At 40.0% G+C, this 16147-nt stretch overlaps 1 protein-coding gene and 1 pseudogene across 8 annotated transcripts in view, besides 2 other annotated features; one reads left to right on the top strand and one right to left on the bottom strand.

Annotated features, from left to right (window-relative positions):
* Nucleotides 2070-2718: an enhancer, noted in NCBI's record as "H3K27ac hESC enhancer chr15:59981225-59981873 (GRCh37/hg19 assembly coordinates)". NCBI's record gives its function as "activates a minimal SCP1, AML or CMV promoter by ChIP-STARR-seq in naive H9 embryonic stem cells {active_cell/tissue: H9 hESC(naive)}" and the evidence as "EXISTENCE:reporter gene assay evidence [ECO:0000049][PMID:30033119]".
* Nucleotides 2147-2656: a silencer, noted in NCBI's record as "silent region_6492". NCBI's record gives its function as "represses an Ori minimal core promoter by ATAC-STARR-seq in GM12878 lymphoblastoid cells {active_cell/tissue: GM12878}" and the evidence as "EXISTENCE:reporter gene assay evidence [ECO:0000049][PMID:35858748]".
* BNIP2 (BCL2 interacting protein 2) overlaps nt 2424-16147 on the top strand; it is a 30175-nt gene continuing 16451 nt past the window's right edge. For 5 of the 8 annotated variants that reach the window (NM_001368059.1, NM_001368057.1, NM_001368061.1 and 2 more), the window contains exons 1-5: nt 2424-2609; nt 9230-9336; nt 11436-11503; nt 11976-12152; nt 13657-13833. In NM_001368059.1, the coding sequence (NP_001354988.1) occupies nt 9287-9336; nt 11436-11503; nt 11976-12152; nt 13657-13833 (472 nt within the window). In that variant the 5' untranslated portion in view covers nt 2424-2609; nt 9230-9286. Of the gene's footprint in view, nt 2610-2817; nt 3013-9229; nt 9337-11435; nt 11504-11975; nt 12153-13656; nt 13834-16147 lie in introns of those variants that run through there. The other 3 variants (NM_001368060.1, NM_001368058.1, NM_001320675.4) reach the window with 2 other exon arrangements.
* Nucleotides 14226-15057, bottom strand: PIGHP1 (phosphatidylinositol glycan anchor biosynthesis class H pseudogene 1; annotated as a pseudogene).

The raw sequence follows: 16147 nt of genomic DNA, 5'->3' as shown, positions 1-16147 counted from the left end.
ATTTTTATAAAGACTTATATGTGCAATTTATACATAAAATATATATGTGTGTGAATATATATATATATATAATCTGAAAGGCTATACATAAATATGTTAATAATAATTATCTTTTTGGCTTACTTGTAGTTTGTAATGTTTCAACAATAAGTATGGATAATTAACAAGATAGGGATAAAAAGATAAGTAATAGGATGGCTTACTCGAAACCAAAGCAAACACTGATCAAGCTTATTAAATAATAAAGTTACTAAAATGAAGAAGGAACTGAAGATCTTAAAAAAAAGAAATCACATAACTATATATGATTTCCAGTGATTTTCTGCCACCCTGTGGGGAATTCTGCACATTGCAGAACTGAAGAAGCAAAGTATGAAACTACAAAAACTTCTGTAAATCAAGATGAAATTTCTTGGCCCAAGTAGTTGTTTAGCTAAAGCTCTGTTGATCAGTTTTGTTTTCTCTACTAGCTATTTAGTGAAATTGCTAGACTAGGATAAAAAGAATACCTAATACTTAAATGTGATTACAATATGACAACCAAGGTCCTAATACATATATATGAATTCATCTCACAAAAACCCTATAAGGTAGGTACTATTTTCTTCCCATTTTATCAAAGAGACGGACTTTAATCTACCAATGGTGGGTAAATGTTGCCAAAGCAATGTGAAATCCAGGCAGAATGCTGCATTTTTAGTCAATGATTTAAAATTTTGAGCTTTTCTGTTCCCCTCAGGCCTGATCGTACCCCAATGGAATCACCCAAATACTTGATGCTGAGCCTTTCTATGGATTTATCAGATGAAACTTTGGAAAGGGACTTTTTTTTTTTTTTAAGACAGGGTTTCGCTGTCACCCAGGCTGGAGTGGAGTGGCGCGATCTTGGCTCACTACAACCGCCGCCTGCCAGGCTCCAGAGAGTCTCCCACCTCAGCCTCCCAAGTGGCTGGGACCACAGGTGCATGCCACCAAGCCCACCTAATTTTCTTCTTTTCTTTCTTTCTTCCTTTCTTTCTCTTTGCTTCTTTTTCTTTCTTTCTTTCTCTGTCTCTTTTTTTTTTTTTTTTTTTAAGAGATGGGGTCTCGCCATGTTGCCCTGAGGTCTGGCGATCTACCGACTCGGCCTCTCAAAGTGCTGGGATTACAGTCATGAGCCAGCACGCCCAACTGAGAGAGACTATGATGTTCTCCAAACAAATCTCATTTGGTTGAAACTCTACAGCTGAGTATGGTCTAATTTGAGTAGTTTACCTTGAGTACTCTAACCATGGTCTATAGACCTGGGCTCTTCTGAGAACTGTTTGCAAATGGTTCACAGAGAGAGAGTAGAAAACTCTATGTCAATTTTGCAGGTAATTTTATGGCTGTTAACTCTAACGATAAAAAGTTTTGACTTGGACTTTGTATGTCTTTTCATTTTTCTGTTTTATTAACTTGTCAAAAACTAATTGAAAATTGAAAAAAATAAACCGACCGTTCCCCCAGTGAAGAGAAGCACTGCTGTAAAGCTTTTCACACTCAAATATTACCAAACTCTAAGGTCGCTTCTGAGGCCTAACTCCCCAAAATGATGCCTCGGATATTTTTCCTCGCCTTATTTCTTTTTTTTCTTTTTCTTTTTTTTTTTTTTTCCTTTTTCCTTTTATTTGAGACGGAGTTTTTGCTCTGTTGCCCAAGCTGGAGTGCAATGGCACGATCTCGGCTCACTGCAAACTCCAACTCCGCCTCCGCCTCCGCCCTCGCCTCCTGAGTAGTTGGGATTACAGACGCGCGCCACCACGCCCAGCTAATTTTTGTTTGTTTAGTAGAGACGAGGTGTCACCATGTTGGCCAGGCTGGTCTCGAGCTCTTGACCTCCGGTAATCCACCCGCCTCGCCCTCCCAAAGTGCTGGGATTACAAGCGTAAACCACCGCGCCCGACCTCCTCCCCTTATTTCATCCATTTTATAATTCACATTATTGATCGCTGATAATTGCACCTATTGTAATGATACTGATAATTGCACCTGTTGTAATAATATTGATATTGATAATTGCACCTATTGTATTACAATATTATTATTGATATCGATAATTTCACCTACTGTAATGATCAATAAAGGCAGGCAGAAAGAAAACAAAAGTAACTGAAACTACCAGGCAGCGTCCCTGCGAACAGCAAAGAGGGAAGAAACGCCTTGAGGCGTAGTAACGCCACCAATAAGGAGTCGACGCGACGGGTCCGCCCACAGGCAAGGAAGGCCGACCCCGCGAGTGCAGGCGCGAGCGCTAGCCCGTGACGTCTGAGGGGGTTGGGGGGATGCTGTGTGGGTTTCAAGAAGACGCCACGCCTCCGCCGCCGCCACGCCCCCGCCGCCTCCACCGCCGGCTGCCGCGCCCGGAGGAGGTCGGGATGTTATCACTTCCGCCGGGGCTTCTCACTGTGTCCGGGTCAGCTGCTGCCGCCGACGCCGTACCGCTGCGGCCGGGGGATTGGGCCGGGGTCTCCACCGCCGACCGAGGGGAGCGGGCTCCGCTCGGCCCTGCTTTTTGCGACCTGGCCGTCAGCCCCACGTCGCCGGCCTGGAGGGGCGAAGAGGACGAGGGGGCCAAGGCTTCCTCCGGGGTGAGTGCGGCCTGGGAGAACTCGGCACGGTGGCTCCGGAGCTGGACTGGGAACCGGCCTAGGGGCGAAAGTCTGTCGGGCGCGTGCCCACGACGTCCGGGGAGAGGAAACCCAGAGAGTTACCCTTGGTAGGGGGAGCCATAGAACCTGCTCGGGAGGTGCTTCCTGGATCCCCGCCCTGCTTAGGTCCCCGCCCTTGGCTTGGGTCCTGTTTGTATTTGGCAGTTTGGCCCCCCACCCCGTCGCTTTTCCGTTTCTGGTAGTTGTGCTCGGGATGGAACCTTGCCCCTCCTCCGCTCCCCCACCCTTTTACCCTGGTGTGGGTGAAGTGGCTGGGCTACGATGGTTCAGTATTTATGACCAGCGTCCGTCCTGGTACAGAACAAAGAAACTTGGACTTCTGGTATGCCTCGTAACCGCGGGGAATAGACACGGAAGCAGCATAAGTAATCAGGGCTTTAATAGATCTTCCCTAGTACGCTAAACCAAATACAGAGTGTGTACGTCAAAAGCCGAGTCCCCGCGTGAATCTAGACACAACCCTTTCTGTTTAAATACCTGGCAAAATGGTTTGGATTTCTGGATGCATTTCATGCCGCTGGAGAGTTACTTGTCTGTGTCTTGTGAGCTCTTTGACGAAACAGCTTTTCCGGTGTTGCATCAAGATAGTTACGGTGCCTCCTATTTATTTAATTGAATAAACTATGTGATTGCATTTTAGTGTTGCTTTTTTCATTCTCACCTTCTCTTGATTAGGATCTCTATTTCACCTAATACCTGATTTCGTATTTTCAATTAAATGTAGTTTTTCTAACATTTTATAGGAATCTCTGCAATTGTAGAAACAAATTCTGTAATTTGTAAATGGATGTTTCCTCAAAGTTACAACTGACCTTACCCAATTAAGTTACCCCTGCAGACTAGTTTCTTGATCATTTTGCACATATTCTTAGTTCTTTTTGGTTTACATTTTCTCTAAACTCTATTCCTAGTCTTCATATTCTCTAGTGCAGCCTAATACTGCTGGGCTTAGACCGGAAGTATGACAGATCCACTTCTGCAAACGGAACTTGAACTAGATTATCATAAGTCAGTGCTATTATGGTCTTCAGGCATTACAAGCCCTTTGAAGCTAAGTGCGGCCAAATCAGGCATTACAGGCTTCTTCTGTATAAAATTGCCAGTGCACTGGAGACGGTGTGCTGTATTAGAAACAGTTCCGGACTAGATATGGGGACCAGGATGTAGTGTCATTGCCTCATATATAAGATAAAATGATGATAACACAAGTGTCATGCATCCCAAAGTTGCTGGTTGGAACATGAGATGATGGATGTAAAAGTGGTTAGTAAATGTGAAAAGCACTCTGGAAAAGTTCTGTTCATTCTATCTGGAGTAATGCTGGTAGAAGGAACAATAGGGAGGAAGGTGTCAGAGAAAGTATATGTAACCAGATCTAGTAAGTTACCGGGCTGATAGATTGAAAGATGTCTTGTTACTTTGGGTGGCCAAGGTGGGCGGATCACCTGAGGTCAGGAGCAAAAAATGATAAAGCAATGAGATGAGACAAACCTGGCCAACGTTATGAAACCCCATCTCTACTAAAAATACAAAAATTAGCCAGGCATGGTCGCTCGTGCCTGCAATCCCAGCTACTCGGGAGACTGAGGCACAAGAATCACTTGAACCTGGGAGGTGGAGGTTGTAGCGAGCCGAGATTGCAGCACTGCACTCCAGCCTGGGCGACAGAGTGAGACTCCGTCTCAAAAAAAAAAAAAAAAAGGATGAAAAGATGTCATGTTACATCCTATGAAGTAAGTTTACATCCTATAAAGCAGAATACTAGTATAATGTGGTGATAGTAATATTCCACGATTATAGTTTTATATTGCAACTAATATTTCTAACTACAACAAACTGAGACATCAGTTAGTAGATTATCTTTTTAAAGATCTCAGCATTTTCAAGTGTGTTCCGCATAGTGACAATAAATGTAACTTTTGTAGGTGGCACAGTCATCTTTTGATTTATTTTCACAATTTCGAGAGAACTCAGCACCATTCTAGTTTTTCCTCTAAATTTTGTGTTAACATTTATTTTATTTTATTTAGCTTTTTTGAGATGCAGTCTCGCTCTGTCACCCAGGCTGGAATGCAATGGCGCAATCTCGGCTCACTGCAACCTCTGCCTCCCAGGTTCAAGCGATTCTCCTGCCTCAGCCTCCCTGATCGCTTGGATTACAGGCCAGTGCCACCACTCCTGGCTAATTTTTGTATTTTTGGTAGAGATGGGGTTTCACCATGTTGGCCAGGCTGGTCTTGAACTCCTGACGTCAGGTGATCCGTCCGCCTCAGCCTCCCAAAGTGTTGGGATTACAGGTGTGAGCCACCATGCCCGGCTTGTGTTAACATTTCTGATAGAGCAGTTCATTTCATTGTTTGAAAACTACCCTCATGGGAGCAATGACAAGCACATGTCTAGGATTTTTTCAAGCATGTTTGGTGATCTCCTAAACATACAGGCTGTTGGTTAAAAAGTGAACATAAATGTTTAGAATGAAACCTTTTTGTTTAAATGGGGAAGTGAAAGGCTTGCCCGGGCGTTTCCATCTGCCTACTGTAATTGATTTCCGCATAAACGGTCATTACTGGCACCTATTGCAGCACCAGTATTAAACTGCATATAGTAAAATCACTGTGTAAAATTGTGTTATAATCTAAACAGTTCTAATGCGATCTTAAAAAAAATTGTAGAGACAGATCTCACTGTGTTGCCCAAGCTAGGCTTGAACTTCTGGGCTTAAACCATCTTCCCACCTTGTCCTCCAAAGGTGTTAGGATTACAGGAGTGAGCCACTGAGCCTGGCCTAAATGTGATCTTAACATTTAATTTTTGCTTATGTTGCTAAACTGCCTGGGGAAAGCTGCTTCATCCTGGTTGGATTTACCAGTACTCCTCCCCCTTGAAGCTATGTCAGAAGGAATCAATTATCTCTTTGATTTTTAACCTAAGGTCAACAACTGTTTTGAATTTATCTTTATGACTGCAACAAGTAAGTGGCATAAGGATGTGCCACCACTACCAAGAGTCAATCTATTGAGAAATCAAGTTATTCCTGTGCCAACAGGTTATTTTAACAAATATCATCTTAAAGTGTTATTTCCCATTCTAATTTCCAAAAAAAAATACATGAACAAGAAATGGGAAGCAACAACAGTTAACTTGTGAGTCAGCAGTATCCTGATTTTCTTCGAAGAGGTTGTGGTTATATTAACTCCTTTCTTGTTTGTTTCCTGTTCTTAACAGCTGTTTGATGATAAAGTGCTTCCAAGAAACAGTACTCCCTCAATTGTTTAAATTGTTTTGATCTACCTAGTGTACTTTTCCCCTAAAATTCATGATGAAATGGTAGAGTAAATCTATCTATATCTCTCTCCCCAAGTTCTGTTTAACTAGATAATTGATTATCCTCAAACTAAATATCCATGTCTATGTGCTGAGGTATTAACACATGATTCAATATGATATTAAGGTAAAAATGGAATAAATAGGCTGAGATAGCTGAAAGACTTGGGCTGCCTGTGTTTCGAGGAGCTATTTAGTTTTTGTTGTTGTTTGTTTTGTTTTGTTTTTTGAGACAGAGTCTCCCTTTGTCACCCAGGCTGTAGTGCAGTGGTGCAATCTCAGCTCACTGCAACCTTCACCTCTGGGGTTCCAGCGATTCTCCTGCCTTAGCCTCCATAGTAGCTGGGATTACAGGCAGGCGCCACCACGCCTGGCTGATTTTTTGTATTTTTTGTGGAAACGGGGTATCACCATCTTGGTCAGGCTGGTCTCAAACTCCTGACCTCAGGTGATCCGCCCACCTCAGCCTCCCAAAGTGCTGGGATTACAGGTGTGAGCCACCACGTCCGGCCTCAAGGAGCTGTTTTCACAGAGACAAACTTGTTCCATTGGTTAAGCAGCTGAAAGGAATGGATTGTCTTCTAGAATTTCCCAAGATAAACCTTTCCTCTTACCAGTGAGGAACAATTTTACAAATAGAAATTAATATTGCTGGTGTGTAGTTTCCCACAGAATATTTTTGTTACATTTTTATGGGGTAACACATGACAAATCCTATTCATGTAGTTTAATAAGCAAAATAAGCCTAAGAGATTGAGCAAAGGTTTGCTGACCAGTGTCCATACCCTACAGGTAAGTATTATTTACTTAATTTTTATAGGCCTGTTATGTGCTAGGCACCATGGTAGGTGTTGGGAATATATTGGGTACAACTTTCAGTTTCTGCTTTTATTTTTGAAATGCTAAATATTTTTCTGAGTATTTGAGATATTTGAAAAAGACACCCAGACAACATCCTGGTGTGTTTTTCAACACACAATAAAAAGGTACGACAAGATAATAGAAAGCTTTTCTGATTATTGAATTTAGGAAAATACATCATTCGCTTTAGAGTGAGTACCAAAGACTTAAGAAAAGTTAAACATTGGGAAATACAGTAAATTAAACATCTAGAAAAGACTTACCAGTTTTCAGCCTTTAGTCATAGCATGCTTTGGTCTCACTTGAGCATTGTAATTCTAGAGTAGTAAGTATTTTCACCATTTGGGCTTGTTGATTGTAATTGTGGGCTCCTTTCTACTATTTCTGTTCTAAACAGAGGGGATTGTTTGGTAAGGTAGGTGTCCCTCTTTTTGTTTATTTTTCCCTCCCAACAGAGAAAGTGCTAAATAAGTAAAGATTATTTTAAATGTTTTTCATTAACTTATAAAAACTGCCTAGATCATTGTTTTCCCAGAGAATTAAAAACCTTACTCCTATATGTAAATGACTTTTTCAAGCAAATAAGTTGGTGTGGAAAAGTCAGCATCTACCATTTTTTTTCTGTGGTAACAAGTGTATCATCAAACATTGAAACCTTTTGGGAATGTTTAAAACCTTCTCTTGAGGGTAAGTAAAAATTCAAACTGGGAAGAGAGTCTTCCAGCCTTGGCAGAGATACAAATTTAGTTTACCTTGTGAAATCTAACACTTCAGGATATTTCCATTGTAATTTTGTCATTACGGAACATAAGGCTTTTTTCTTTGTAACTTTGTGCATCTTTTGAATGTTGACGTAGCAGATAAGATAGCTATAGGACATGACCACATTTTTCTTTTAGAAGACTGGTTGATGTGAATGGCTGACATAATTGATTTTATTTAATAAATATCTTTTAAAGTCACAGATAGTATTGTTTTAAAAATCAAATGGTATAGACGGACTTACTATGAAAAGCATTAGTCATTTTCTGCATTTCACCCTCTTTCCTCTGCTACTGGTTTTGCTCTGTCACCCAGACTGGAGTGCAATGGTGTGACCTCGGCTCGCTGCAACCTCCACCTCCCAGGTTCAAGCGATTCTCCTGCCTCAGCCTCCCAAGTAGCTGGGATTACAGGCGCCTGCCACCACATCCGGCTAATGTTTTTGTATTTTTAGTAGAGACTGGGTTTCACCGTGTTGGCCAGGCTGGTTTTGAACTCCTGACCTCAAGTGATCCGCCCACCTCGGCCTCCCAAAGTGCTAGGATTACAGGCGTGAGCCACCGCGCCCGGCCTAGTGTCAACGACTTTTAACTTTATTTTTAGTACTGCTAGTGATGCTCCGTATCTCTTAAATATGTTACTGCAAAAAGAAAAGAAAAGAACAGAAATATGTTACTGCTGTTTGTTGAATAACTTTAGACATCTATTGACTTGAATGTAAATGAACTAAATACTCGTGTATACCTCTTTCCTTCTATAGTTTTCACTGTTTTGTTGCATTGTTAACCAGTTGATCTTTACCTTACCTCAACTTCTATTTCTTACTCCATCACCAGAGGGAGTATCTCTAGATTTCTTACTTTTAAAATGAGGATATTGGACTCACGTGATTCCTTGGAAAAACTAAAACTAAAGTTCATGGCATATGTTAAAATACGTAGTTGCATAAAAGGGCATTCACCAAGTTCAGTGTTTGAAAACATATGCCGAGCTATATGAGAAGGGCATAGTATAGATATGAAACAAATCAAAAGATTGCATAATTCATTTACGGGACAAGTTATTGAATAGACTTCTTTAAGTGGCTCAGGAATTGTGGCATCAAACTATTGAGAAGGAAATATGAAAGACAGCACACCACCTGACTCTGCTGAATCATGAGTTTAAATATTATTGATTTACTATTATTTACGGTCTAGAATCAACCTCTATCCAAGGGACAGAAAATTTAATTATGAGTCTGTAATAAAGAACATTTTTATTTCTTACCCCACTTCAAATTTTTTAATATAATCCATAGTATGAAATATATTTTCAATCATAACCTGAGATACTATACATGCAACTGAAAACAAGTATTTTCACTGAACAGTATCCTTACTATAAACAGTATTTAACTTTCCCAGAATATATGTAGTCTGAGTATTCTCTTTTCTTTAAAAAAAAAAAAAAATTGCAACCCTGTAAATGAATTTCATGACCAGACCATTGTACTAAACATCAAGTATGAACTAATATATAAGATTATTACGCCTTTTCAGTGGATAAAAAGTAAAGTGGAAATTAAGTTATACATTTTTCTCTCTTCATAGGACATTGGCTCCCTGGATTATCAAGAGTTTGTAGTTGACATTGAATCCAGGCTGAGGATGGAAGGTGTGGAACTTAAAGAAGAATGGCAAGATGAAGATTTTCCGATGTGAGCAATGCTTTTAAAAGAAAACAATTTTAGAGCAAAAGTTCAAAATTTCTTTATCGAGATGTTACTTTTTTTTTTTTTGAGACGGAGTCTTGCTCTGTTGCCCAGGCTGGAGTGCAGTGGCGCGATCTCAGCTCACTGCAACCTCCGCCTCCTGGATTCAAGCAATTCTTCTGCCTCCACCTCCCAGGTAGCTGGGACTATAGGTGTGCGCCACCACGCCTGGCTAATTTTTGTATTTTTAATAGAGACGGTGTTTCACCATATTGGCCAGGCTGGTCTCAAACTCCTGACCTCGTGATCTGCCTGCCTTGGCCTCCCAAAGTGCTGGGATTACAGGTGTGAGCCACTGCACAGCTGAGATGTCACTGAGAAACTCAGTAATACAAGGCGATCATTTGATACTAGGAAGTAAAGTTTCTTCGGAACAGTTAGATTGATTCTCTTGTATCTTACTTTCCAACCAAGTATATATATAATCTTCTATAATCTTTCATTTTTGTTTTGGTCACTTAAGTTTGCAAATTTTTGCTTTTATAATAAAGTGTTTTAGTGTGGTTTGTTTGTTTTGTTTTGTTTTTGTTTTCATTTAAACAAGATCTGAGGGATTCCTCAGAGAAGGAGGTCTTTAGTTGTCTTTAAAATGTTTCTTTAATTTTGTGGCCAGGTGCGGTGGCTCACGCCTGTAACCCCAGCACTTTGGGAGGCCGAGATAGGCAGATCACTTGAGGCCAGGAGTTTGAGACCAACGTGGCCAACATGGTGAAACCCCGTCTCTACTAAAAATACAAAAAATTAGCCAGGCTTGGCGCTCGCCTGTAGTCCCAGCTGCTTAGGAGGCAGAGGCACAAGAATCACCTGAACCCAGGAGGCAGGGGTTGCCGTGAGCCAAGGTCGCGCTGCTGCACTCCAGCTTGGGCGACCGAGCAAGGCTCTATCTCAAAAAAAAAAAAAAAAATTTGTGGGTTCCCCCCCACCAAAAAAAAAAAAACCTTACTAAGTAAATTAATAAGGATTTTCTAGCTTATCTGGCCAGCCACCTTGACATGTTTGCATTTGTATTTACAATTATATTGGCACCAGGTAGGCTAATGAAAAAGAGAGCAAAGGCAGACCTTAAGTTTAAATAGTGCTTCCGTGCCGTACTTGTCAGAAGACATCCTAGTGCATAATCAGGTGCCTTAGCAGTTGGATAGCTTAGCAGTTGGACAGCTGATCGGAGACCTGAGTCACTGTTGCATATGGTGGTGATAGTAAATATAGGAATGCTGATCTCAGAAGAATTGAACCATTGTTACTGTAGTCTCGTGAGTAAAAATTGAGCTTCATACATTGCATCATACATCACATTATATTTGTGCATTTCAGTCATATTTGTTTAAAATTGTTACATGTTTTATAATTGTATAAGAGCTGTTGCATAAGGAATTTATATCTACTTTTATGTGTTACTTATATATAATAAGTGTATAAGTCAGCTCTGACAGTCAGAATTTTTACTTTGAAAGTGTAGCCAGGCATAGCACGTCACGCCTATAATCCTAGTGCTTTGGGAGGCCGAGGCAGAAGGATTGCTTGAGACCAGCCTGGGCAACATAGCAATATCCGGTCTCTACCAAAAAAACTTTTAAAATTAGCTGGGCATGTTGGTGTGCCACTGTAGTCCTAGCTACTCAGAAGGCTGAGACTTTATCTTAAACACTGCTAGGCTGGGCACAGTGGCTCATGCCTGTAATCCCAACACTTAGGGAGGTCAATGCACGAGAATCGTTTGAGCCCAAAAGTTCAAGGCCAGCCTGGGTAACATAGCAAGACCCTGTCTCTACTAAAAATTAGCCAAGCGTCGTGGCACGCACCTGTAGTCTTAGATACTCGGGAGGATCTCTTGAGCCCAGGAGTTAAGGCTGCAGTGAGCCATGATTGTGCCATTGTATTCCAGCCTAGGTGACAGACAGCAAGACCCTGTCTCAAAAACAACAACACTGCTTTATTCCATTTTCCAAATAATTATTTCTATAAGCTGTATGTTTAATAGATTGAACTTCAAAAAAAAATTCTTTCTTAATTTCTGGATTAAAAAGTATGCCTGTGTCTTCTAGACCTTTACCAGAAGATGATAGTATTGAAGCAGATATACTAGCTATAACTGGACCAGAGGACCAGCCTGGTAAGAGCTTGACACTTACTTTCATTGAAATTATGGACTTTGTGTTATTTTTTAAAACACGTTTCTTTGTCCAAAAAAAAAAAAAACTTGAGTTTTTATTCCATCATAGAAGTCAAAGTATAAGTTGAACATTGAGGAAAGCATTTTTAGAATGCTTTAAAAAAAATTCCAAAAACATACACTTGGTTTTTGGAAAGTTTTACAGTAAAGGGGTGGAGGAGATCATTTTTAGTGGTAAGAGGTATCTATAAGGTCTGCCTCTATTTAAAAGACATTGATACTTTATTGATCTCTTGCCAACGATGTAGAAGCAATAATGATCAGAATAAAAATTTTGTGAATAGGTGCTTTGAAATTATGTTCAATTAATATTATTTTTTCCCAAGAATGGGGTAGTTAAAATTTTTCTTATTCAACTTTAGCATCTAAGCATTCCTTGTTACGTATCTTTTTCTTTATTTTCCAATTCCAGGCTCACTAGAAGTTAATGGAAATAAAGTGAGAAAGAAACTAATGGCTCCAGACATTAGCCTGACACTGGATCCTAGTGATGGCTCTGTATTGTCAGATGATTTGGATGAAAGTGGGGAGATTGACTTAGATGGCTTAGACACACCGTCAGAGAATAGTAATGAGTTTGAGTGGGAAGGTAAATGTTTCACTGTTTTTAATCTGATCTTTATTAATGTACTAAGGGATTTTGTTTGAAATACATCATTCTTTCTAAAGTTCATATATTTGTTACTAAGATAGGAAATTGTGCTAACCCTTGAATATTCTCAAGGACTTAAAAAGTGTGTATAGAGTACACCAGTGGCTTTTTTCCCCTCTTATTTGCCCACTGCTCTCATGTTTTTTTCATAGCTGTTTCAAAAATATTTCTTGATAATTATGGCATGCTCTTTTTTAGTCAATCAAGTAAGAAACTTTTGAAGAGACATATAGTTAACAGTTTGTGGGAAGGGAGTTCTGAAAGGAGGCATTTGGGGTGACTTTTTAAGTAGGTTTGCCTGACATTGCTCTACTTTGTGAAATGACCAACTTAAATTAATGTATACTTTTAGCCCCCGAACCTAGTATTCCTTATTACTTGTAATTCAAAGGAATTGTGCTGTTTTACTTTGCATGCTTTCTTTAATTACAAAATTGTCTACAGTATCTTATATATAGTTGTTATAATTTTTACATATTTTTTTCCATCTTGAAAATGATTTTGTTTTCATAGTAGTGTTTAGCATTCAGTATTTTACTGTAATAAAGTGTGATATGCTATATTTTTGGTTTCTTTTTTCTTCCCTGTTTTACTGGTTCAATAAACAGTCCAGTAGTAAGCAATACTTTGTAAAGATACTGAAATAGTTTTGTGCCTATGTGTTTTGTCTCTTCTTTCTTTAATGCTGCTGTAGTCATTTCCTGGAAGGATATTTTCCGTTAACAGCTTTGTCTTGGAAACAACTAACATGCAGTAGGTTTCCCCCTCCCCCCATCTTTTGGTAAGGACTATAATACTGAAATTTTGAAAATTATTACTACATTGAAAATCAGCTAAACTGCAATCTCAAAACATAAATTACACTTAATCATTGGTGCTTATGCTTTGGCTAATGCTAATTTAAATAGACTTCTGCATGTATACTTCAAAGTATTATAAATACATTTCTGCTTTATAAAACTGATCAAATGAGAAGTGATCATTGAGTAGTTAACCACTTCCTATCTGGTATTACAGTTAATTTATGTGCTCAACAACAACAAAATTGGCTCCCAGATAGCTACTTGAAGTAACCTATAGTCATAACTGCCAGGGAGAATATTGTCACAAGTTGAATCTGGAAAGGCATTGTAAGGCCAGTGTACTAAGATTTTGATGACTCTACAAATTATATTTTCTGAACTTGTGGATACACGTTTCACTATGATTAGGTGGTTTTTGCTAAATTGGGCAATAAAAGTTAAAGAACCATGATTTCCAAAGACATAAAACAGCCTCATGTTAAGAATAAGCCTTTTCCTCCTTTATGGAAGAGAGATTGAAAATTGTGCAGATGGTATAATGAAAATTCTCTGTAAAATCTAGGTAGTAAAGTGGTTAACGTATAATTTGATTTTTGTTGTGTAACAATTTGTGATTCAAAAACTTTGTATTTTGACAGATGATCTTCCAAAACCCAAGACTACTGAAGTAATTAGGAAAGGCTCAATTACTGAATACACAGCAGCAGAGGAAAAAGAAGATGGACGACGCTGGCGTATGTTCAGGATTGGAGAACAGGACCACAGGGTTGATATGAAGGCAATTGAACCCTATAAAAAAGTTATCAGCCATGGGGGTAAGAGTTACTGAGGATTTTTCAGATTGTTTAATGCAATATCAGAATTCTTTTTTTTTTGGAAGGATATCTGTTTATTAAGAGTAAATAAGCCCTGTACAGAACACAGGCGCTAGGTTGAGAGACTCGTCTTTTGTAGGACATTTCTTCCTGCTAACCAGTTCCTGGAGGGCTTGTTTTTTTTGTAACTTTACACAAGGGGCACTAATGGAAAATATAGCTTTCTCAAGACATCTGATGTCAGTTTCCCATTGTTTTGCTTCACAAACATCAACAAAGTAAACCTGAACATGCTTAGCAATTTCCCAATGTTCTTTGCTGACATTACTTTTGACATACTGTGTCAAAATTCTTAAGGTCTCCCCTCCTTTGGTAAAGTAGGCAAAACCTTACAAGGAAAACACTATAATACGTGGAAATATACTGAGTTAGATTTCCAGTCACCTGCTCTATGGCTCTGAGATGCACTATATCCATAATGGTTCCTAGGACTGTGTCCACCTGATGGTTTGGAGTACGGAAAACCAACCCTTATGGCTTAAGAGTCATCTCCCATGGAAGACGATGCTGGCCTTCTGAACGCTGGGGCTCATGGGCTTGTTGATGTGGCTTTCTGGTGTGCCAGGATCCCCTGGCAGCTCCTGTATACTTCAGTCAAGCAGTCCAGCCGGGGCTTGGCACTCTGGAAGACGGGTACTACTTGGGATATCCCATGTGGTTCCACTGGATCCTTCAATAAGATGCAGAGGTAGTAAATCACCTTCTGCATGTAAATAGCCTCATTGATGACAATATCCTTGACCTTGCCCATTTCTATGAAGGTAGTGCTTTCTTAGCCTGAAGCATAAGATGAAGTCATCTGAATGCCAAGGGAATCAATGATTAACAGTCTCCTGATCAATCTTCACAAAATGGAGATAACCAAGCAGACCTAAGAGGGTGATGAAGATGGCAGCAGAGAGGATCATGCTGTTCTCGCAGAGGGTGAAGAGTCCGTAGGCTGCCAGCCACACCGTGCAGGTGACAGCGGTGAGCGAACGCAGCGAGAGCCCAGGGCAGCTGAGGCAGAATTCCCGGCAGGAAGGGAAGTAGTAGCGGCGCTGCAGGGCCAGGCGGCCACCGCAGATATCCGAAAAGCTCCGCTCATCCTCCATGACACCCCAACTCTGCCGCCCGCACCGCACCGCGCGGCACTCCACTGCGCTCGCCTGCCCTAGCCGTTTCATGCAATATCAGAATTCTAAATACTTTTAGAAACTCTGCCTAGAGATATTATGTAATTTTGAAAGAATAATAAGCATTTCTCATTCATTTTAGAAACATGACAGGTTTAAAGTAAAAGAATAAAAGTACCATTTAAAAATGATTATATGCATACAGTAAGTTGAAAAAGTACAAAAGAATTTGTAGTGAAAACTGTCAGGTTGGGCACGGTGGCTCAGGTTTGTAATCCCAGCAATTTGGGAGGCTGAGGCAGGAGGATTACTTGAGCCCAGGAGTTCAGGACCAGCTTGGGCAACATAGACCTCGTCTCCACAAAAAAATAAAAAAAATAAAAAAATAAATAAAATTAGCCAGGAGTGGTGGCATATGCCTGTAGTCCCAGCTACTTAGGAGGCTGGGGTGGGAGGAGAGAGAGCTTGAGCTTGGGAAGATGAGGCTTCAGTGGCCGTGATCATCCCACTGCACTCTAGTTTTTTGTTTTGTTTTGGTTTTTGACCCTGTCTCAAAATTAAAAAATTTTTTAAACTGTCTCTAGGCTACCCAAAACTGGGACTGAACAGTCTCCCTAATTTATAAACAGTGAAATGCTCTGATCTTAAGTGTGCAGTTCAATGAGTTTTGACAAATGCCTATATAACCATATATACCCATATATATAAAACCCATACCCCTAAAAATGTAGAACATTTTCATTGTCCCAGAAGAATTATTTAGTACCCCTGTGCAATGAATACTCAGCTTCGGTAGCCACTGTCATATCTACCCCCTGATTAGTTTTGCCTCTTCTAGAATTTCATATATAGTAACTAAAATCATCCTATGCACTCTTTTGTTTACTTTTCAGCATGAAGTTTTTGAGATTCATCCATGTTGTTGCACGTATCCACAGTACATTCCTTCTTATTGCTGAGTAGTTTTCCATTGCTTGGATAAACCATAATTTGCTTATCCGTTTTTTTTTATGTGCATGTGAGTTGTTTCCAGCTTGGGCTGTTATAAACAAAACTGCTTTGAACATTCTTGTAGAAGTCATTTATGGATATAAGTAAAACTTGGACTCTTTTTGTTTTGTTTTGTTTTGAGACAGAGT

This window comes from Homo sapiens, chromosome 15 (genome assembly GCF_000001405.40).
Source record: "Homo sapiens chromosome 15, GRCh38.p14 Primary Assembly".
Lineage (NCBI taxonomy): Eukaryota > Metazoa > Chordata > Mammalia > Primates > Hominidae > Homo > Homo sapiens.
This window is presented reverse-complemented; position numbering and strand designations above follow the sequence as displayed.